Raw genomic sequence first — 21,188 nt, forward strand, 5'->3', positions numbered from 1 at the left:
ACCATGCCTAGCTAATTTTTATATTTTTAGTAGACGTGGGGTTTCGCCATGTTGGCCAGGCTGGTCTCAAACTCCTGACCTTGGGTGATCTGCCCGCCTCGGTCTCCCAAACTGCTGGGATTACAGGAGTGAGCCACAGTGCCCGGCCTCTAATTTTTATTTTTAATTTTTTTAATTTTTATTTTTTTAATTTTTATTTTATTTATTTTTTGTAATTTTTAAAATATACAAAAAAAGGGCCGGGTGTGGTGGCTCACGCCTGTAATCCCAGCACTTTTTGGGAGGCTGAGGTGGGTGGATCACGAGGTCAGGAGATCGAGACCATCCTGGCTAACATGGTGAAACCCTGTCTCTACTAAAAATATAAAAAAATTAGCCGGGCCTGGTGGCAGGTGCCTGTAGTCCCAGCTACTCGGGAGGCTGAGACAGGAGAATGGCGTGAACTCGAGAGGTGGAGCTTGCAGTGAGCCAAGATCGCACCACTACACTCCAGCCTGGGCGACAGAGTGAGACTTCATCTCAAAAAAAAAAAAAATTATATATATATATATACATATATATATGCAAACAAAGAGCATCTGAGTCATAATAATGTAAATCTATCACCTGACTGACCTGCTGCCACACCTCATGATCTCATCTGATCCCCACACTCCTTCTCTTTGGGATACTGTGTACAGCCATAGCGTGGGTGAACTTTGTATTCCTATCCTCCCCATTTTTGTTATTTTATTTTATTTCTTATTTATTTGAGACAGAGTCTCACTCTGTCATCCAGACTGTAATGCAGTGGCCTGATCTCGGCTCACTGCAACCTCCACCTCCCGGTTTCAAGCGAATCTCCTGCCTCAGCCTCCTAAGTAGCTGGGACCTACAGGCACACACCACCACGCCCAGCTAATTTTTGCATTTTTAATAGAGACGGGGTTTCACCGTGCTGGGCAGGCTGGTCTCGAACTCCTGACCTCAGGTGATTTGCCCACCTCAGCCTTCCAAATTGTTAGGATTACAGGCATGAGTCACTGTGCCCGGCCTCCTCCCCATTTTATAACAAGGGAAATGGAGGCCCAGAATGGTTAAGTAAACCCACCCAGGGCTAGCTGAGAATTAGCAACAGAGAACTGGGAGTAGAATTTGTTCCCTGGCCCTTTGCTGTTTCTATTATAAGCCACCCAGTCTTAGATTTTCTGTTACCTTATAATTAATGACTCAAATGCAGTTTCTGAGTGAGAAACACAAGTCCCAAACACTCTTTAAAGAGGCATAAAGATGTATCTTGTTGTTTTCTTTTGTTTGAGACAAGGCCTGGCTCTATTGCCCAGGCTGGAGTGTGGTGACATGATCTTGGCTCACTGCAACATCTGTCTCCTGGGCTCAAGCCATCATCCCACCTCAGCCTCCTGAGTAGCTGGAACTACAGGAGCGCGCCCCCACACCTGGGTAATTTTTCTATTTTTTGTAGAGATGGGGTTTTGCCATGTTGCCCAGGCTGGTCTCGAACTCCTGAGCTCAAGTGATCCACCCATCTTGGCCTCCCAAAGTGCTGGGATTACAGGCGTGAGCCACTGTGCCCAGCCTCTTGTTGACTGTAGGACCACAAGTTGGCGGCTAACTTAGAGCAATGTTTGGCACACAGGAAGCACTCATTAAATATTGACATTATTGTAGTTATTTTAATAGCCCAGCATTGCACTTTTAGGTCTTTCAGCTTTCAGTGATGATCAGTTGATAATTGATGATCTGGTGGAGTGGTTCTTAATGGTAGAGTTGGGGGCAATTTTACACTCCCTTACACCCCACTAATCTTCCCCCCAACCCAATGGTAAAGCTATTGCACAGTACTTGGCAATGTCTAGAGACAATTTTGGTTGTCACAGCCTGGGGGGAAGGTGCTACTGGCATCTAGTGGGTAGAGGCTAAGGATGCTGCTTAATTTTTTTTTTTTTTGAGACAAGAGTTTCACTCTAGTTGCCCAGGCACAGAACAGCTTCACAGAAGCTGTTAATGCACAGAATAGCTTCCTACAAAAAAGCATTACCTGGCCCAAAATGTCATTAGCTACCAGGCTGAGAAACCTGCCCTCCTAGGCCGGGCGCTGTGGCTCACGCCCGTAATCTCAGCATATTGGGAGGCCGAGGTGGGCGGATCCTGAGGTCAGGAGTTCGAGACCACCTGGACCAACACGGAGAAACCCAGTCTCTACCAAAAATACAAAATTAGCCGGGCATGGTGGCACATGCTTGTAATCCCAGCTACTCGGGAGGCTGAGGCAGGAGAACCGCTTGAACACAGAGGCAGAGATTGTGGTGAGCCGAGATCACACCATTGCACTCCAGCCTGGGCAACTAGAGCGAAACTCTTGTCTCAAAAAAAAAAAAAAAAAAAAAAACAGGGAAAGAAAAGAAAGGAAACCTGCCCTCCTATCATAGGATAATCCCATTTCCTCCTGTCTAAAGAGACGCCTACTTAGTCATCCTGGGTGACTGCATCAGGGAGGTAGATTTTGGAGTCTGAAAGGCTGGGTTCTGTCACTTTGTTACAGTGCCTCTGGTGCAAAGAAAGCATTTTAAAAACCCTGTACAATTAAAAAATTGAATTTAATTACTTTGTGTAACTTTGAATAATTCACAGAAGTCTGAACTTCTTTATCCTGTCCTGTAAAATGGAGGTAAAAAGCCCTTGGCCGAGAGCTGTTTTGAGGAAAAACTGAAATAACATTGGTAAAGTGTCGCACAGTACTTGGCACACAGCAGCCCCTCGACAAACATTAGCTTTCTTTCCCTTTCTTGTCGGTTTCTTCCTCTCCAAACCCGCGTGTTGCTTTTCTTTTTAATTATTTTTCTGTAGCCCTCCTTTGCGGCCACAAACTCGCTTTCTAACCCAGGTTCAGCCCTTTTATTGGCTGAGTGACCTTGTGCAAGTCACTTTTCCCCTGTAGGCCTCGGTTTATTCTCCGTAAAATCAGAAAGTTGGCCTCCGATCTCCAAGCACGCTTTTCACGACGAAGTGGGACTGTTAAGTTTACAGAGCTGCTTTCCTCCCCCGGGACTGATGGTACGGTCCCCGGGCGGCTCCCCACCCATCTGTCGCAGACCTTGGTACAGGCCCAGGGGGCCCTCGGCGGCCTCTCCGGGCTGCCCTTGCCCCCTGCCGAGTTCCGGGCCCGTGTCTGCGCAAGCTGATTGGCTGGAGCGGTGCCCGGGCTGCGCGGCTATAGGTGAGCCCAGGAGGGGACGGGCGGGGCGGGCCGGAGGCCCGCCCCCTCCCCCCTGGGTCGGACGCTGAGCGGAGCCGCGGGCGGGAGGGCGGACGGACCGACTGACGGTAGGGACGGGAGGCGAGCAAGATGGCGCAGACGCAGGGCACCCGGAGGAAAGTCTGTTACTACTACGACGGTGAGCACCGTCCTCGCGGCGGGGGCGGGGCCAGGCCGGGCCGGACCGGGAACCTGGAGGCTGAGGCTGGAGCGCCGATGGGAGGCTGCGGGAGGCTGAGGCGCTGGGGAGAGGCTCGGAGAGGAGGCTGCGAGGGGGAAGTCGAGGCTGAGGGAGGAGGCTGCGAGGAAGGGAGATCGAGGCTGAGACCAAGAGGGGATCGCGTGGGGGAAGCGTGAGGTAATCTTGATGGGAAGATTCTGAGGAAGTCTGATGTGGAGAGTTTGAGTGGGACTCCTAGAGGGGAGGGTGCGTCGGAGCGGGGAGGCTGAATCTGATGGAGACGGCTGCAAGGATACATTTTCTTGCCGAGAACCCAAAGCTCTTCCCTGCCCCGTCCCTTCCTCATCTTTTCTGGGGGAAGAGTCCTGCACGACTGGTTGCCCGCCTCCCCTCCCCCAGCCTCTGAGCGGGGCCTGCGGTTGCTACTGCGACGTGGGGCGCCAGGGGTTGCAAGGAGAAGGATGCAACCTGTTAAAACAGACTTCTCACTTAATCTCTCAAGCAGGTTACTGTGTTCGAGGAAGTGTTGAGGGGCTGGGGCCGTGGGGTTGATCGGGTCACCCTTCCCAGTGACCGAAGTTCTCTCCGTGTCAGAGCTCAGAGTGTTAGGGGAGCACAGAGAAGAGGCACCGAACTCCACCTGAGGAGTCAGCGAAGGAGGGGACATCTTAGTTAGGACCTGAAGAACAGGAGTTCTTAGCCAGGCACAGGGAAGGCAAAGATAACAGCAAGTTTCAGAGGCAAGAGAGAGGACAGGACCTTTGAAAAACAGGCATTTGGCCGGGCGTGGTGGCTCACGCCTGTAATCCCAGCACTTTGGGAGGCCGAGGCTGGTGGATCACCTGAGGTCAGGAGTTCGAGACCAGCCTGGCCAACATGGTGAAACCCCGTCTCTACTAAAAATACAAAATTAGCCGCGCATGGTGGTGTGCGCCTGTAATCCCAGCTACTCTGGAGCCTAAGGCAGGAGAATCCCTTAGAACCCGGGAGGCAGAGGTTGCAGTGAGCTGAGATCGTGCCACTGCACTCCAGCTTGGACAACAGAGCGAGGCTCTGTCTTAAAAAAAAAAAAAAAAAAAGATGTAAATAGGGACCGGACCATGAAGGGCTGGGCATGCTGTCCCAAGGAAGTTGGACTTTATTGAGGGCACTTGTGAGTGATTCAAGTTTTATGCAGGTTATTGACATCATCAGGTTTATACCTTAGAAATTAAAGTAATGGGGGCCAGGTGCAGTGGCTCACACCTCTCTAATCCCAGTACTTTGGGAGGCTGAGGCAGGCAGATCACTCGGGGCCAGGAGTTCAGGACCAGCCTGGCCAACACGGTGAAACCCCATCTCTACTAAAAATACAAAATTTAGGCTGGGCACGGTGGCTCACGCCTGTAATCCCGGCACTTTGGGAGGCTGAGGCGGGCGGATCATGAGGTCAGGAGTTCAAGACCAGCCTGACCAACATGGTGAAACCCTGTCTCTACTAAAAATACAAAAATTACCCGGGTGTGGTGGTGCGCACCTGTAATCCCAGCTACTCAGGAGGCTGAGGCAGGAGAGTCGCTTGAACCCAGGAGGCAGAGGTTGCAGTGAGCCAAGATTGCACCGCTGCACTCCAGCCTGGGCAACAGGGTGAGACTCCATCTCAAAAAAAAAAAAAAAAATTAGCGAGGTGTGGTGGCACATGCCTGTAGTCCCAGCTACTCAGGAGGCTGAGGTGCGAGAGTTGTTTGAACCTGGGAGGCAGAGGTTGCAGTGGGCTGAGATCTCACCACTGCACTCCGTCCTGGGCAACAGAGCGAGACTTCGTCTCAAAAAAAAAAAAAACAAAAAAATTCAGATTGTAGGGGTAAGGAAGAAGGCATGGATCCCAAGTTCCTGGTGTGGGCAGTATTTTTTATTTTTTGAGATGATGTCTAGCTCTGTCACCCAGGCTGGAGTGCAGTGGCTTGATCTCGGCTCACTGCAACTGCAACCTCCACCTCCCAGATTCAAGGGATTCTCCTGCCTCAGCCTCCTGAGTAGCTGGGATTACAGGCGTGCGCCACCATGCCTGGCTAGTTTTTGTATTTTTATTAGAGATGGGGTTTCACGATGTTGGCCAGGCTGGTCTCAAACTGACCTCCAGTGCTCCATCTGCCTCAGCCTCCCAAAGTGCTGGGATTATAGGCATGAGCCACACTTCCTGGCCTCTGATGTGGGCAATTTGATGGTGAGTGTTTGGAGGTTTGGAGAATGCCATGTCAGTTGATAACTTTTTTTTTTTTTTTTTTTTGAGATGGAGTCTCGCTCTGTCGCCCAGGCTGGAGTGCAGTGGCGCAATCTCGGCTCACTGCTGCAAGCTCCACCTCCCGGGTCCATGCCATTCTCCTGCCTCAGCCTCTCCAGTAGCTGGGACTACAGGCGCCCGCCACCACACTGGGCTGATTTTTTGTATTTTTAGTAGAGACAGGGTTTCACCGTGTTAGCCAGGATGGTCTGGATCTCCTGACCTCATGATCCGCCCGCCTCGGCCTCCCAAAGTGCTGGGATTACAGGTGTGAGCCACCGCACCCGGCCCCAACTTTTTTTTTTTTTTTTTAAACTTCTAGAGATGGGGTCTCAATATGTTGCCTGGGCTTGTCTTGAACTCCTGTGCCTGGCCTCAAGCAATCCTGCCACCTTGGCCTCCCAAAGTGCTGGGATTACAGGCCTAAGCCACTGTTTTTTTTGTTGTTGTTGTTTGTTTGTTTAGAAATAACTATTGATAACTGTTAAGATGTTTAGGGGACATCCAAGTAGAGGCATCCAGTAGGCAGTTTAGAAGATAGAAATTTTTTGGTAGTCATCAGTATCTTAGTCTGCTATAACAGAACACTGTTTATAAAGAACAGAAATTGCTGAATGTGGTGGCTCACGCCTATAATCCCAGTACTTTGGTAGGCTGGGGCGGATGGTTCTCTTGAGCCCAGGAGTTTGAGACCAGCCTGGGCAACTTAGGGAGACTCTGTCTCTACAAAAAGTAAAAAAATTAGCTGGGCATGATGGCATGTGCCTGTAGAGAGGCTGAAGTGGGAGGATCACTTGATCCTGGGAGGTCGACTCTGCAGTGAGCCATGATCGCACCAGTGCACTCCAGCCTGGGGGACAGAGTGAGACCTTGTGTCAAAAAAAAAAAAAGAACATAAATGTATTTCTCATAGTTCTGGAGGCTGAGAAGTCCAAGGCTAGAAAGTCCAAGATCAGGGTGCCAGCATTTGGTGTCTGGTGAGGGTCTGGTCTCTACTTCCAATATGGTGCTTTGAATTCAGTGTTTTCATATGACAGAAGGTGGAAAGGCAAAAAAGGATAAACTCTGTTTTTTTATATGGCCATTAATGTATTAGTGAGGATGGTAGAGCCCTTGAGACCTAAACACCTCCCAAAAGGCTCCACTTCCAAACACTGTTGGCATTGGGGAATATGTTTCCAACACATGAATTTTGGGGGACACATTCAGACCATAACAATCAGCATATGGATAGTTATTTTATTTGTTTGTTTGTTTGTTTGTTTGTTGTAGAGATGTTGTCTTGCCATGTTGTCCAGGCTGGCCTTGAAGTCCTGGGCTCAGCCTCCCAAAGTGTTGGGATTATAGGCATGACCCACCATTCCTGGCTGCTAGCAATTTTAATTGTAGTAAATTTAGTCATAAAGGATGCAGTCACCCAATAAGTTATATAGAATTCCAGGGTGGAATTCTAAGGAAGTGGATTGAGGAAAAGTTTAGTGCCCCTCATGCTGTGTACTCCCCCGTGATAGTATTTGTCACTGTGTAGAGGAATTGCCCATTTACTTGGTCATATTTCTTGTAGAGAGGAGGCTCTTTAGGGAAAGGGGCCGTGCCTTGTCTACCTCTGTATCCCCAGCACCAAAAACAATGCCTAGCTCATGGTAGGTTCTCAATAAATATTTGTTGATTAAATGTATAATGATAGAGAGTGAGGGGCCGGAGAGGTAGGTGAACCAGAAAGTACTGGGTTGCAGAAGCTAAAGAAGGGAGGGATTGGGCAAGTGTTGGCGGCAACTGGGGCAGAAGCTAGATTGTGGTAGATTGCAGTACATGGATGGCTAACTGAAGAGGAGACATCAGGTTGAACCCTTTTTTTGGAGACAGGGCCTCACTCTGTCACTCAGGCTGGAGTGCAGTGGCATGATCCTGGCTCACTACCACCTCTGCCTCCCAGGCTCAAGCAGTCCTCCCACCTCAGCCTTCCAAGTAGCTGGAACCACAGGTGTGCACCCTTTTTGTATTTTTTGTTTAGAAGACAAACGGTTGTCTTTTGTTTAGAGACAGGATTTCGCCATGTTGCCCAGGCTGGTCTCAAACTCCTGAGCTCAAGTCATCTACCCGCCTCAGCCTCCCAAAGTGCTGGGTTTACAGGCGTGAGCCATCATGCCCAGCTGGTTGAACCCTTTTAAAGGGAAGCTTGTGTGAGGTAGGGAGAGAGGATTGTTGATAAGGGAGATGGAGATGTAGTGGCTAAAAGTTGAGCATATTGAAATAATTCTTATGGAAAATAGCCAGAAGAGAGGGAGAGGCTGAAGATACAGGAAAGGGACTAGTAGTGATGGAGCTTCCTGAGGAGACCAGGGGAGATGGAAACCGGAGCCCAGCTAGAGACACTAACCTTCAACAAATTCCTTTGTGATGCGAGGGTAAATGTCAAGGAAAAGTTCAAATGGAGGTAAGTTTGAAGAGGAGAAGATAAGGAGAAAGTTGAGGGAGTTCTCAAGATCAGGAAAGAGAATATTCCTTTTCCTGAGGGTGGGGTAGGGCAGTTGGTGGAGCAGGAATCTTGAAGAGAGGAGATTTAAATAGCTTTTGCAAAAGTGGGGGGCTAGGGAAAGAAATTTGGAAGGATTGCTGGCAGTGATAAGAATCATTTTGAGGCTGGAACCTGTGATTTTTGTAGTCATATCATTTTGCACAGTTTTATGATAACATTTTATGATAACATTGTCAGTTTAAAAGAAGAAAAAAATGGGCTGGGCATGGTGGTTCACGCCTGTAATCCCAGTAGTTTGGGAGGCCAAGGCGGAAGGATCACTTGAGACCAGGCGTTCAAGACCAGCCTGGGCAACAAAATGAGACCTCCCCCAGCTCTACAAAACAACACAAAAAAATAAGCTGGGTGTGGTGGCACTTGCCTGTAATCGCAGCTACTTGGGAGGTTGAGGTGGGAGACTGAGGCAGGTGGATGGTTTGAGCCCAGGTGGAGCCTGCAGTGACCCATAATGGCACCACTGCACTCAGCTTGAGTGACAAAGCAAGACCCTGCCTCAAAAAAAGAAAAAGAAAAAGTACAAAGACCTCAGTCTTTAGATAAGGGAATAGACTTCTTTTTTTGCGGGGGGGACGGAGTCTTGCTCTGTCGCCCAGGCTGGAGTGCAGTGGCGCCATCTCGGCTCACTGCAAGCTCTGCCTCCAGGGTTCATGCCATTCTCCTGCCTCAGCCTCCCGAGGAGCTGGGACTGGAGGCGCATGACACTACGCCTGGCTAATTTTTTTTTTTTTTTTTTTTTTTTTTTTTTGAGATGGAGTCTTGCTCTTTCACCCAGGCTGGAGCGCAGTGGCGCGATCTCGGCTCACTGCAACCTCCACCTCCCAGGTTCACGCCATTCTCCTGCCTCAGCCTCCCGAGTAACTGGTACTACAGGCGCCTACCACCACACCTGGCCAATTTTTTGTATTTTTAGTAGAGACGGGGTTTCACCGTGTTAGCCAGGATGGTCTCCATCTCCTGACCTTGTGATTCGCCCGCCTCGGCCTCCCAAAGTGGTGGGATTACAGGCGTGAGCCAGCGCGCCCGGCCTTTTTTTTTTTTTTTTGAGACCAAGTTTTGCTCTTGTTGCCCAGGCTGGAGCGCAGTGGCGCAATCTCAACTCACTGCAACCTCCGCCTCCCAGGTTTAAGCGATTCTCCTGCCTCAGCCTTCCTGAGTAGCTGGGATTACAGGCATATGCCACCACGCCCGGCTAATTTTGTATTTTTAGTAGAGACGGGGTTTCTCCATGTTGGTCAGGCTGGTCTTGAACTCTCGACCTCAGATGATCGCCTGCCTCGGCCTCCCAAAGTGTTGGGATTACAGGCGTCAGGCACCGCGCCCGGCCATTTTTTGTATTTTTAGTAGAGACGGGTTTCACCGTGTTAGCCAGGATGTTCTTGATCTCCTTACCTCATGATCCACCCGCCTCGGCCCAAAGTGCTGGGATTACAGGCGTGAGCCACTAGGCCCAGCCGGGAATAGACTTCTTACTTGAGAAACTGAGTTTTGCAGTGAGGTCATTACTTTGGGATTCAGATTTGGCTCTGCCATTGAGAAGCTTTGTAATATCAGGCAAGTCACCTTACATTTCAGATTTCTCTCCTATAAAATCAAAATGATAGGAGTTCCTATTATGAGAACAATGATGGGAAAGCTCTTTAAGAGTTTAAAGTATGGCTGGCGCCATGGCTCACGTCTGTAATCCCAGCACTTTGAGAGGCCGAGGTGGGCGGATCACTTGAGGTCAGGAGTTCAAGACAAGCCTGGGCAACATGGTGAAACCCTGACTCTACTAAAAATACAAAACTTAGCCAGGCGTGGTGGCACATGTCTGTAATCCCAGCTACTCAGGAGGCTGAGGCAGGAGAATTGTTTGAACCTGGGAGGCAGAGGTTGCAGTGAGCCTGAGATCGCACCACTGCACTCCAGCCTGGGTGACAGAGTGAGACTCTGTCTCCAAAAATAAAAATTAAAATTAAGTAGTACCTAAATAAAAAGGACCATTTCTTTTAAAGTCTCTCAGCAACCTGATTAAGATATAGAGATATATCTTTATTTTAATTACAGTAAATTTAATCATAAAGGATGCAGTCACCCAAGAAGTTATATAGAAGAGGATCCAGGGTGGAATTCTAAGGAAGTGGACAGTGTCCCTCATGCTGTGTGCTCCCCTGTCATAGCATTTGTCAATGTGTATAGGAATACACACAGCACGGGTTGGCAAACTAATTAAAAACTGTTAAGAAAAGGATGGTTGGCCTGCACTGTTGGAGGCTCACATCTGTAATCCCAGCACTTTAGAAGGCTGATCAGGAGTTTGAAACCAGCCTGGGCAACAAAGCAAGATGCCATCTCTACAAACAAACAAACAAAAACATCAAACAAAAAAAAACATAAAAAGAAAAGGATGCTGTCTCAGAGCCCCACCCTCACTACCCTCACCTCAGATACTCCCTTAACCTTCTGGATAAGATATCTTAGTCCCCCAGGTCTGAGCCTTGGCTGGATCTAGGCTTGATAGGCAAGGGAGTTGCTAGGGATCAAGGCTCATGCCTTTTTTTCACTGGGTGCCTAGAGCTCTGCCTCATCCTAATAAATCTCTAAGGAGAGATCTTTGGGTGTGTAGTTCACTTGATTTTGCAACATTGTTCAAGGAATTTTCTATCAGGTAGACTTATAGAGCCCTCTAGATTAAGTGCAAACTGAAGTAGGTACCTGAGAAGCCCAATGTAGGGCCTGGCACGGTGGCTCACACCTGTAATCCCAGCACTTTGGGAGGCCGAGGTGGACGGATCACGAGGTCAGGAGATCAAGACCATCCTGGTTAACACGGTGAAACCCCGTCTTTACTAAAAGTACAAAAAAAATTAGCCGGGCTTGATGGCAGGCATCTGTAGTCCCAGCTGCTTGGGAGGCTGAGGCAGGAGAATGGCGTGAACCCTGGAGGCGGAGCTTGCAGTGAGCCGAGATCGCACCACTGCACTCCAGCCTGGGCGACAGAGCGAGACTCTGTCTCAAAAAAAAAGAAAAAAGGAAAATCCAATGTAGCTTTTAGCATATTGGATTTGGAGTCCGAAGAGTGGACTCCAGATCAGTCATTAGCTGTGTGATCTTGAGCAGGCACTTAACTTCTCTGAGTCTCAATTCAATTCATTGAATCTTTATTGAGCCTCTGTGATATACAAGGCATATTAATCCTTGCCTTCAAGGGGTACCCAGTCTTGTGGATATAGTCATGTAAATAATTCAGATATAAAACAATCCTAGCACTTTGGGAGGCTGAGGTGGGCATATCACTTGAGGTGAGGAGTTCCAGACCAGCCAGGCCAACATAGTGAAACCCCACCTCTACTAAATATGAAAATTAGCTGGATTTGGTGGCACGCACCTGTAATCCCAGCAATTTAGGAGGCTGAGGCAGGAGAACTGCTTGAACCTGGGAGGCAGAGGTTGCACTGAGCCGCCGAGATAGTACCATTGCACTCCAGCCTAGGCGACAGAGTGAGACTCCGTCTCAAGAAATAAAAAAAAAAAGAAAAGAAAACTAATGAAGTGCTGTATACAAATTGCATGTAGAGGAAAAGACCATTTATTTTGATCAAGAAAGGGTTTGGAGCTTGAGGTGGGCTTTGTAGTATGAGCATCATCAAAGAAAGGAGGACATTTCAGGTCAAAGGAATAGTCTGCACAGAGGATACTGTGGTGTGAAGGTGAATGTCATGTTCAGGATACTGATCATAATCTGGTGTGTCTGGAGCACAGGTTGGCAAACTTTTTCTATATAGGGCCAGATAGTAAATATTTTAGGCTTTATTTTGCCATATGCTTGGGTGTCTGTGGCAACTAAACTGCTCAGCTCTGCCACTGTAGTGTGAAAACAGCCATAGAGGAACTGTAAACGGATGGGCATGGCTGTGTTCCAATAAAATTTTATTTACCAAAACAGGCAACTAGTTGTATTTGTCCCAAGGGCCATAGTTTGCCTACTCCAGTCTAGAGCAAAGAGAGAGAGAGAGTGAGTGTGTGTGTGTTGTGGGAAAGGGTGGTAGCAGGAGATGAAGCTGGAAAGGCAGGTTAAGAAAGTCCTTGGATGAAGCTGGAAAGGCAGATTAAGAAAGTCCTTGGCCGGGCGCGGTGGCTCATGCCTGTAATCCCAGCACTTTGGGAGGCCGAGGCGGGCAGATCACAAGGTCAGGAGATCAAGACCATCCTGGCTAACACAATGAAACCCCGTCTGTACTAAAAATACAAAAAATTAGCTGGGCATGGTGGCAGGCGCCTGTAGTCCCAGCTACTCGGGAGGCTGAGGCAGGAGAATGGCGTGAACCCTGGAGGCGGAGCTTGCAGTGAGCTGAGATCGCGCCACTGCACTCCAGCCTGGGCAACACAGCGAGACTCTGTCTCAAAAAAATAAATAAATAAAGTAAAAGAAAGTCCTTGAATGCTGGCCAGGCGCGGTGGCTCACACCTGTAATCCCGGCACTTTGGGAGGCCGAGGTGAGTGGATCAACTGAGGTTAGGAGTTTGAGACCAGCCTGACCAACAAGGTGAAACCCCTTCTCTACTAAAAATACAAAAATTAGCCAGGCATGGTAGCACATGCCTGTGATGCCAGCTACTTGAGAGGCTGAGGCAGGAGAATTGTTTGAACCCAGGAGGCGAAGGTTGCAGTGAGCTGAGATTGCACCACTGCACTCCAGCTTGGGCAACAGATCGAGACTTGTCTCAAAAAAAAGAAAGTCCTTGAATGCCAGTCTTCTGAAGTTATTATTATTAAATGTTGAGACCCAGCCTGGTCTTGAACTCCTGGGCTCAAGTGATTTTCCTGCCTCAGCCTCCAGAGTAACTGGGATTACAGGCTCATGCCACCATGCCTATCTCTATTAAAGTTATTCTTTACTCTTTATCCTGTAGGGGATGGGGAGCCATAAGGATTTTTTGAGCGAAGGAGTGATGTTATCAGAATTGTGGATTAGGAAAATAACTCTGGTGACAGTGTGGCAGGTAGTGTGAATTGAAGGTAGAGGGACCAATTAGAAGGCTAGTGTTATAGATTAAGCATGTGATAAGTTTTAGTTTTCTTATCTGTAAGGTGAGAATAATAATACCCCCTGTCCTACCCATGTTACTGTGAGGATCCAGTAAGAAAACGAAGTGAATGTGCTTTGACACCATAAGTGTTACAATATGTAGGAGGTGAATTGTGGCTTCTAATAATTCTGAGTAGCGATGGTTATTTTTCTGTTGTGGGAGGGAATTCCTTGGAGGTATAGTGAGGTGAATCATTTCACTGGCTGTTGTTCCCCAGTAGCTTTGGAATGAACCCCTCTTGCTATGTAGTGCCTGTGGGTTCCAGAAGAAAGTGAGCTAGACTGAACCTTAAATGTTCACCTCACCAGGGTCCCTGCTTTTTTTTTTTTTTTTCTTTTGGAGTTACCCTTCAAAAGGTGGGAGAGAATCTTGGAAACTAGAAATGAGCCAGAAAGAATTTGACTGGGAGTTCGCTGTAAAAATTCCTGGGTTCTCCTGGTAGTGTATGCCTAACTGTGTTAGTGAAGCTGTCACTCTCTCTTCTTCAGGGGATGTTGGAAATTACTATTATGGACAAGGCCACCCAATGAAGCCTCACCGAATCCGCATGACTCATAATTTGCTGCTCAACTATGGTCTCTACCGAAAAATGGAAATCTATGTGAGTTACCAGAGGTGCTACCGCTCCCTAACCTCATCTGCTCTGGTTCCCCATATGCCATTCATTATCTCATTTTCTCCACCACTCATTCACTCATTCATCAAATGCATGTTGACTGCTGTTACAAGGCAGGTACTGTAAATGATAAAGATTTTTGGCTGGGCATGGTGGCTCACGCCTGTAATCACAGCACTTCAGGAGGTGAAGGCAAGAGGATCACTTGAGCCTAGGAGTTCTAGGCCAGCCTGGGCAACATAGGGAGACCCTGTCTCTACAACAAAATTTAAAAATTAGCTGGCCATGGTGGCATGTGCCTGTGGTCCCAGATACTTGGGAGGCTAAGGTGGGAAGACTGCTAGAGCCTGGGAGGTCGAGGCTGTAGTGAGCTATGATTGTGCCACTGCATTCCAGCTTGGGGGGCAGAGCAAGACTCTGTCTTAAAAAAACAAAGCCAGGTGCGGTGGCTCATGCCTGTCATCCTAGCACTTTGGGAGGCTGAGATGGGCAGATTGCTTGAGCCCAGGAGTTCGAGACCATCCGGGTCAACATGGCAAGACCTCATCTCTACAAAAAATTAGCCAGGCATGGTGGCACATGCCTGTAGTCCCGGCTACTTAGGAGCCTAAGCTAGGAGGATCATTTTGAGTCTGGGAAGCAGAGGTTACAGTGAGCCGTGATTGCACCACTGTGCTCCAGCCTGAGCGACAGAGTGAGACCCTGTCTCAAAAAAACAAAACAAAACAAAAAAACCAAAAATTTAATGCCTAAATAAGAGTGATTGGGACCATGTTGAAGCAGATGCCAAATCTCTAGTTATTAGAGAGTATAGACGGTCTAACCTGTAGATTCAGCTACAGGTGATTTGTCACTGATCTTTGAGTTTTTAAAGAGAAGCTGGAAATCCAGATTATTATGTAAAATCTCCTAGGTTTAAAATGTTATCCCAAGAAACCTTGTCTGTACAAAAAATATGAAAAAAATTAGCTGGTATCCTGGCCTGCACCTGTAGTCCCAGCTATCTGGGAGGCTGAGGTGGGAGGACCACTTGAGCCTGGGAGGTCAAGGCTGCGGTGAGCTGTGATTGCACCACTGCACTCCAGCCTAGATGACAGAATGAGATTTTGTCTCAAAAAAAAAGTTAACCCAGAGTTTTTGCTTTTTGGTTTTTATTTTAAGCATGTATACAAACCAAACACATTAGTACATCTGTAGACCAAATAGGTCCAATGGTTCCCAGTTTTAACCTCTCTGGAGACAGTGAGGAGGAACAAGTGAAGGGTTTTAAATGAAAGAGAGATAGGAACGGGCATGCATTTTAGAAGCAGGGAGGCTAGGTAAGTGGCTGTTACAAGAGTCCAAATGAGAAAATAAAGAGGGGCTGGAGGTGATGTTGCCTTACTACATAAGAATCTGTGGTTAAAGTCTGTTTCTACAGCTTGAGTAAACTACCAACAGTGGTATTTTTGTCACCATTCCAGAGACTGAAAGGAGATGAGTGTTCTTTCCTAGATGGCCTTGTCATGTCTCTGGAGCCAGTGGAGGCAACTGGGGAAGCAAGGAAGGAAAGTAGAGGAGAAGACAGACCTTGGGACTACGGAGCTTTTTTAGGTGTGAAGGCAGCTGGGAATGAAAAACAGAAAAGGCAGAAGATATTTTTAGGTACTCTAGGGAGCAGACTATCTCTGCTCCCGAGAGCTCTGCTCCCTGCAGGCTGGAGTGCAGTGGTGTGATCATAGCTCACTACAGCCTTGAACTCCTGGGCTCAAGTTATCTTCCCACATCAACCTCCCAAGTAGCTAGGACTACAGGCAGGCACCACCATGCCTGGCTTTATTTTATTTTTTTCTTTTTTTTGAGACAGGGTCTCACTCTGTCACCCAGACTAGAGTGCAGTGGTGCAATCTTGGCTCACTGCAACCTCTGCTTTCTGGGCTCAAGTGATTCTCCAGCCTCAGCCTGCCAAGTAGCTGGGATTAAAGGTGTAAGCCACCACGCCTGGCTAATTTTTTGGTAGAAATGGGGTTTCACCATTTTGCCCAGGCTGGTCTTAAATTCCTGAGCTCAAAGCAATCCGCCTGCCTCGGCCTCCCAAAGTGCTGGGATTACAGGCATGAGCCACCATACCCAGCCTCTCTTGGCTAATTCAGAAAAATTTTTTTGTAGAAACAGGGTCTTGCTGTTTTGTCCAGGCTGGTGTCAAACCCCTGGCCTCAAGAGATCTTCTTACTTTGGTCTCCCAAAGTGCTGAGATTATAAGCATCAGCCACCATGCCTGTATTCTTTTTTAAAAATTATAAAAATGATTTTTATTTTTTACCTGCAGTTCCAAGCACAGTATGTTTTAGTTTTACATGTTTGATTGTTATATAGATGGAGCCATACAGTATTTATTATGTGACTGACTTTTTTTGCTAAACATGTTCTTGAGACTCACCCATGTTGATACCTGTAGCTGTATTTATTTTTACTGTATTTCATTGAAATAAATGTATTCTAGTCTGTTATCTCTTTGATGAGCATTTGATTTGCTTCTGGGGTTTGACTATTGCAAATACTGCTGCTATGAACTTTCTTGAACATGTCTCTTGATGCATATATGCTAAAGTTTCACTAAAGGATATACTAGGATTAGAATTGGGTCAGGACATATGCACATATTCACCTGTGTTAGATAAAGCCAAAATGGTTTCCAATTGCCAGCTATGTAGGAGAATTGCAGTTGCTCTGAGTCCTTGCCAACACTTGATTTTGTCAGATTTCAATTTTGTTGCTAATTTAGGTAGACATGAAATGTTATCTTACTATTATTTTAATTTATATTCCCCTACTGAAATTCCTATTCAACCTTTTTGCCCATTTTCCCATTGGTTGTCTTTTTTTTTTTTTTTTTTCCCTGAGACAATGTCTCACTCTGGCACTCAGGCTGCAGTGCACTGGTGCGATCTCGGCTCACTGCAACCTCTGCCTCCCAGGCTCAAGCCATCTTTCTACCTCAGCCTCCTGAGTAGCTGGGACCACAGGTGCATGTCACCACACTCGGCTAATTTTTATATTTTTGTAGAGATGGGGTTTTGCTGTGTTAACCAGGCTGGTCTGAAACTCCTAGGCTCAAGTGATCTGTCCACCTTGGCCTCCCTAAGTGCTGAGATTACAGGCGTGAGCCACAGTGCCTGACCCATTTCTTTTATATATTAAATGTCCATTTTTATTCATTCATTGCATATATACTCATCAAGCACCTACTTTGTGCCAGGCAATATGTGTGTGTCTGGTTTTGGGCTCTCTGTTCGGTTGACTTGGTCTGTTTATTGACCCATATGCCAATACCACAGTGGCTTAATTACAGTAGCTTTATATTATAGTAAGTCTTGTTATCTGGTAGCACAGTCCTCCCACTTTGTTCTTCTGAAAAAGTGATTTGGCTATTTGCCCTTTCACTTTTTTTTCTTTTTCTTTTTCTTTTTTTTTTTTTTTGAGACAGAGTTTTGCTCTTGTTGCCCAGGCTGGAGTGCAATGGCGCGATCTTGGCTCACTGCAATCTCCGCCTCCCTAGTAGCTGGGATTACAGGCATGCGCCACCACGGCCAGCTAATTTTGTATTTTTGGTAGAGATGGGGTTTCTCCACGTTGGTCAGGCTGGTCTCGAACTCCCAACCTCAGGTGATCCGCCCGCCTTGGCCTCGCAAAGTCCTGGGATTACATGTGTGAGCCATGGCGCCCGGCCTCTTTTTCTCTCTTTTAGAGACAGGGTTTTACTCTGTTGCCTGGGCTAGAGTGCAGTGGCACAGTCATAGCTCATTGCAGCCTCAAGCTCCTGGACTCAAGTAATCCTCCCTCCTCAGCCTCCTGAGTAGCACTTCTTTTTAATTTAATTACGATTTTGATATACATTTCACTAATTCACCAAGGTCTATGTAGATCTGATTCTGTTGTTTGTTGTTGTTTCTGTAGGATCCTGGACTGTGTTTCCTGTGTATTTTGTGATTTTTGACTGTGGGATAATGCAGTAGGCCACTCTTATCTGAGGGGGGATACTTTCTAGTATGCCCAGTAGATTCCTGAAACCATGGATAGTACTGTATCCTATATATGTTATATTTTTTCTAATACATACATACCTCTGATAAAGCTTAATTTATAAATTAGGTACAGTAAGAAATTAACAATAATAAACTAGGACAATTATAGCAATAAGCCGTTTACAGTTTCATGCATAGAAGATTCATTCCTGGCCGGGCGTGGTGGCTCATGTCTGTAATCCCAGCACTTTGGGAGGCCAAAGCCGGTGGATCATCTGAGGTCAGGAGTTCGAGACCACCTTGATTAACATGGTGAAACCCCATCTCTACTAAAAATACAAAATTAGCCAGACGTGGTGGTGCATACCTGTAGTCCCAGCTACTCAGGAGGCTGAGACAGGAGAATCATTTGAACCTGGGAGGCAGAGGTTGCAGTGAGCTGAGATCTCACCATTGCACTCTAGCGTGGGCAACAAGAGTGAAACTCCTTCCCAAAAATAAAAAAAAAGAAGATTCATTCCTACTGTAGATCTTAGCTCTTAGCGACTTCAGCACAGGATTTTTTTCTTTCCTTATATTGAGAACTTCAACCTTTTCATGTAAAGGAAGCACAGCACAGCTTCTCTTTGGCATATCAAAATTGCCAGCATCACTACTCGTGGACTTTGGGGCCATTATTAAGTAAAACAAGGGCTTCTTGAATACAAACAGTGTGATACCTTGATAATCGATCTGATTACTGAGAGGGCTACTAAGTGACTCACAGGTGGGTAGTATACAGTGTGGATATGCCAGATAAAGGGATGATTCACACCCAGGGGACAGAGCTGGATGTTACAAAATTTCATAACAAATGGTTCACAATTTGAAACTTATGAATTGCTTGTTTCTGGCATTTTTCATGTAATATTTTTGGACAGTGATTGTGTGTAACTGGAACTGTAGAAACCAAAACTGAGGATAAGAGGGCACTGCTGTATTCTTTGGAACTTTGAGTCCTGGGATGAAGATGGATTGTTAGAAGGTGATTTGCTTTTACTTTGTAAAAGAGGTGGCATTTGAGATGAGCCCTTTCCTTCAGAGATTTGGGATAAGGGATGAATTTCAAATAATAGGAAGAACATGAGCACGGACACTGTTGAAAAGCTCTATACCTCTCTAGATCTTAAGGAAGAGTTGTTTGGAGTATAATATTTGTGAAAGAGAGCAGGGGCAATTAAATTGGGAAAGGAACCTTGTAAAGTTTCTTGATTGCTATATCAAAGAGCTTAGAGTCTTTACTTCGGGCCGGGCGCAGTGGCTCACGCCTGTAATCCCAGCACTTTGGGAGGCCAAGGTGGGCGGATCACCTGAGGTCGGGAGTTTGAGACCAGCCTGACCAACATGGAGAAACCCCATCTCTACTAAAAATACAAAATTAGCTGGGCATGGTGGCACATGCCTGTAATCCCAGCTACTAGGGAGGCTGAGGCAGAAGAATAGCTTGAACCTGGGAGGCAGAGGTTGCAGTGAGCCGAGATCGTGCCATTGCACTCCAGCCTGGGCAACAAGAGTGAAACTCCGTCTCAAAAAAAAGAATATTTACTTCGTCAACAGGGTGTCATTGAATGAGAGCAGTACTTTAACGTTTTAAGATTTTTGTGATACCAATATGGAAGATGGAAGATGATAAGGCTGGATAGAAATAGGACCAATTAGGAGGCCAAAAATACTCCAAGTGAGATTTAATTTGTGTATGGGTTTTGTTTTGTTTTGTTTTTTTAATTTTTATTTATTTATTTTCTGGGACGGAGTCTTGATCTGTCACCCAGGCTGGAGTGCAGTGGCGCAATCTCGGCCCACTGCAAGCTCCACCTCTTGGGTTCATGCCATTCTCCTGCCTCAGCCTCCCGAGTAGCTGGGACTACAGGCACCTGCCACCACGCCTGGCTAATTTTTTGTATTTTTAGTAGAGACGGGGTTTCCCCGTGTTAGTCAGGATGGTCTCGATCTCCTGACCTCGTGATCTGCCTGCCTCAGCCTCCCAAAGTGCTGGGATTACAGGCGTGAGCCACGGCGCCTGGCCCGTTTTATTTTTTTAGATAGGGTGTTGCTCTGTCATCCAGGCTGGAGTGCAGTGATGTGATCACATCTCACTGCAGCCTCACCCTCCTGGGCTCAAGTGATCCTCCCACCTCAGCTTCCTGAGTAGCTGGAACTACACTGTGTGCTACTATACCTGGCTAATTTTTGTATTTTTTATAGAGATGGGGTTTCACCTTGTTGCCCAAGCTGGTCTCAAAGTGCTGGGCCCAAGCAGTCTGCCCCCCTTAGCCTCCCAAAGCGTTAGGATTATAGGCATGAGCCACCACGCCCAGCCAAGAGTTCATTTGTTAGGTCAACAGTTATTCATTGAGCAGGTGCTATATGTCAGGCACCATGCTTGTTGCTTCAAATAAAGGTAGAACCTGCTCCTGGCCTCCCAGAGTAGACCAAGCAAACATGCAATTTATATGCAGTTTGGTGAGTGTAATGATAAGGGAAGTACAGGCTTCTCAGGGTAGCATTTCAGAGAGTTACTTAACTGAGATTCTGAGAGGTCAAGGACAGCTTTTTGGGGGAATTGGCTTTTCTTCTCTTTCTCTCTCTCTCTCTTTTTTAAGAGACAGCCTTGGCTGGGTGCCGTGGCTCACGCCTGCAATCCCAGCACTTTGGGAGGCCGAGGCAGGCGGATCACCTGAGATCAGGAGTTCAAGACAAACCTGGCCAACATGGTGAAACCCTCTCTCTACTAAAAATACAAAAATTAGCTGGGCATGGTGGTGGATGCCTGTAATCCCGACTACTCAGGAGGCTGAGGCAGGAAAATCGCTTGAACCTGGGTGGCGGAGATTGCAGTGAGCTGAGGTCGTGCCACTGTACTCCAGCCTGGGCAACAGAGCGAGTCTCAAAAAAAAAAAAAAAAAAAAAACAAGCCTTGCTCTGTTGCCCAGGATGGAATGCAGTGGCTATTCCTAGGTGAGATTATAATGCACTATAGCCTCAAACTCCTGTCTGTGCTCAAGTGATTCTCCTGCCTCAGCCTCCCAAGTAGTTGAGACTACAAGTGTGTGCCTGGGTTGACTTTTCATTTGCAACCTAAAGGTTGAGTAGAGGGTGTGAAGAGAACAGTGTTGTAGGTCATAGCATGTATAAAGGCCTAAATGTGAGAGAGATGGCCCTTGGGGAAGTGCAAGCAAAATGGTGCTTGGCAGATTGGCACAGTGAATGAGATCAATTC

At 47.0% G+C, this 21,188-nt stretch overlaps 1 protein-coding gene across 1 annotated transcript in view, besides 3 other annotated features; it reads left to right on the forward strand.

The window, feature by feature from the left end:
• Nucleotides 2,974-3,383: a silencer, noted in NCBI's record as "silent region_591". NCBI's record gives its function as "represses an Ori minimal core promoter by ATAC-STARR-seq in GM12878 lymphoblastoid cells {active_cell/tissue: GM12878}" and the evidence as "EXISTENCE:reporter gene assay evidence [ECO:0000049][PMID:35858748]".
• The window catches only part of HDAC1 (histone deacetylase 1), a 41,544-nt gene continuing 23,615 nt past the window's right edge, over nucleotides 3,260-21,188 (forward strand). The window contains exons 1-2 of the mRNA NM_004964.3: nucleotides 3,260-3,395; nucleotides 13,798-13,910. Of these exons, the coding sequence (NP_004955.2) occupies nucleotides 3,347-3,395; nucleotides 13,798-13,910 (162 nt within the window). The 5' untranslated portion in view covers nucleotides 3,260-3,346. The remainder of the gene's footprint in view (nucleotides 3,396-13,797; nucleotides 13,911-21,188) is intronic.
• Nucleotides 3,994-4,053: an enhancer, noted in NCBI's record as "active region_685". NCBI's record gives its function as "activates an Ori minimal core promoter by ATAC-STARR-seq in GM12878 lymphoblastoid cells {active_cell/tissue: GM12878}" and the evidence as "EXISTENCE:reporter gene assay evidence [ECO:0000049][PMID:35858748]".
• Nucleotides 4,125-4,699: an enhancer, noted in NCBI's record as "H3K27ac-H3K4me1 hESC enhancer chr1:32758549-32759123 (GRCh37/hg19 assembly coordinates)". NCBI's record gives its function as "activates a minimal SCP1, AML or CMV promoter by ChIP-STARR-seq in primed H9 embryonic stem cells {active_cell/tissue: H9 hESC(primed)}" and the evidence as "EXISTENCE:reporter gene assay evidence [ECO:0000049][PMID:30033119]".

Source organism: Homo sapiens, chromosome 1 (assembly GCF_000001405.40).
Source record: "Homo sapiens chromosome 1, GRCh38.p14 Primary Assembly".
NCBI classification, from domain to species: domain Eukaryota; kingdom Metazoa; phylum Chordata; class Mammalia; order Primates; family Hominidae; genus Homo; species Homo sapiens.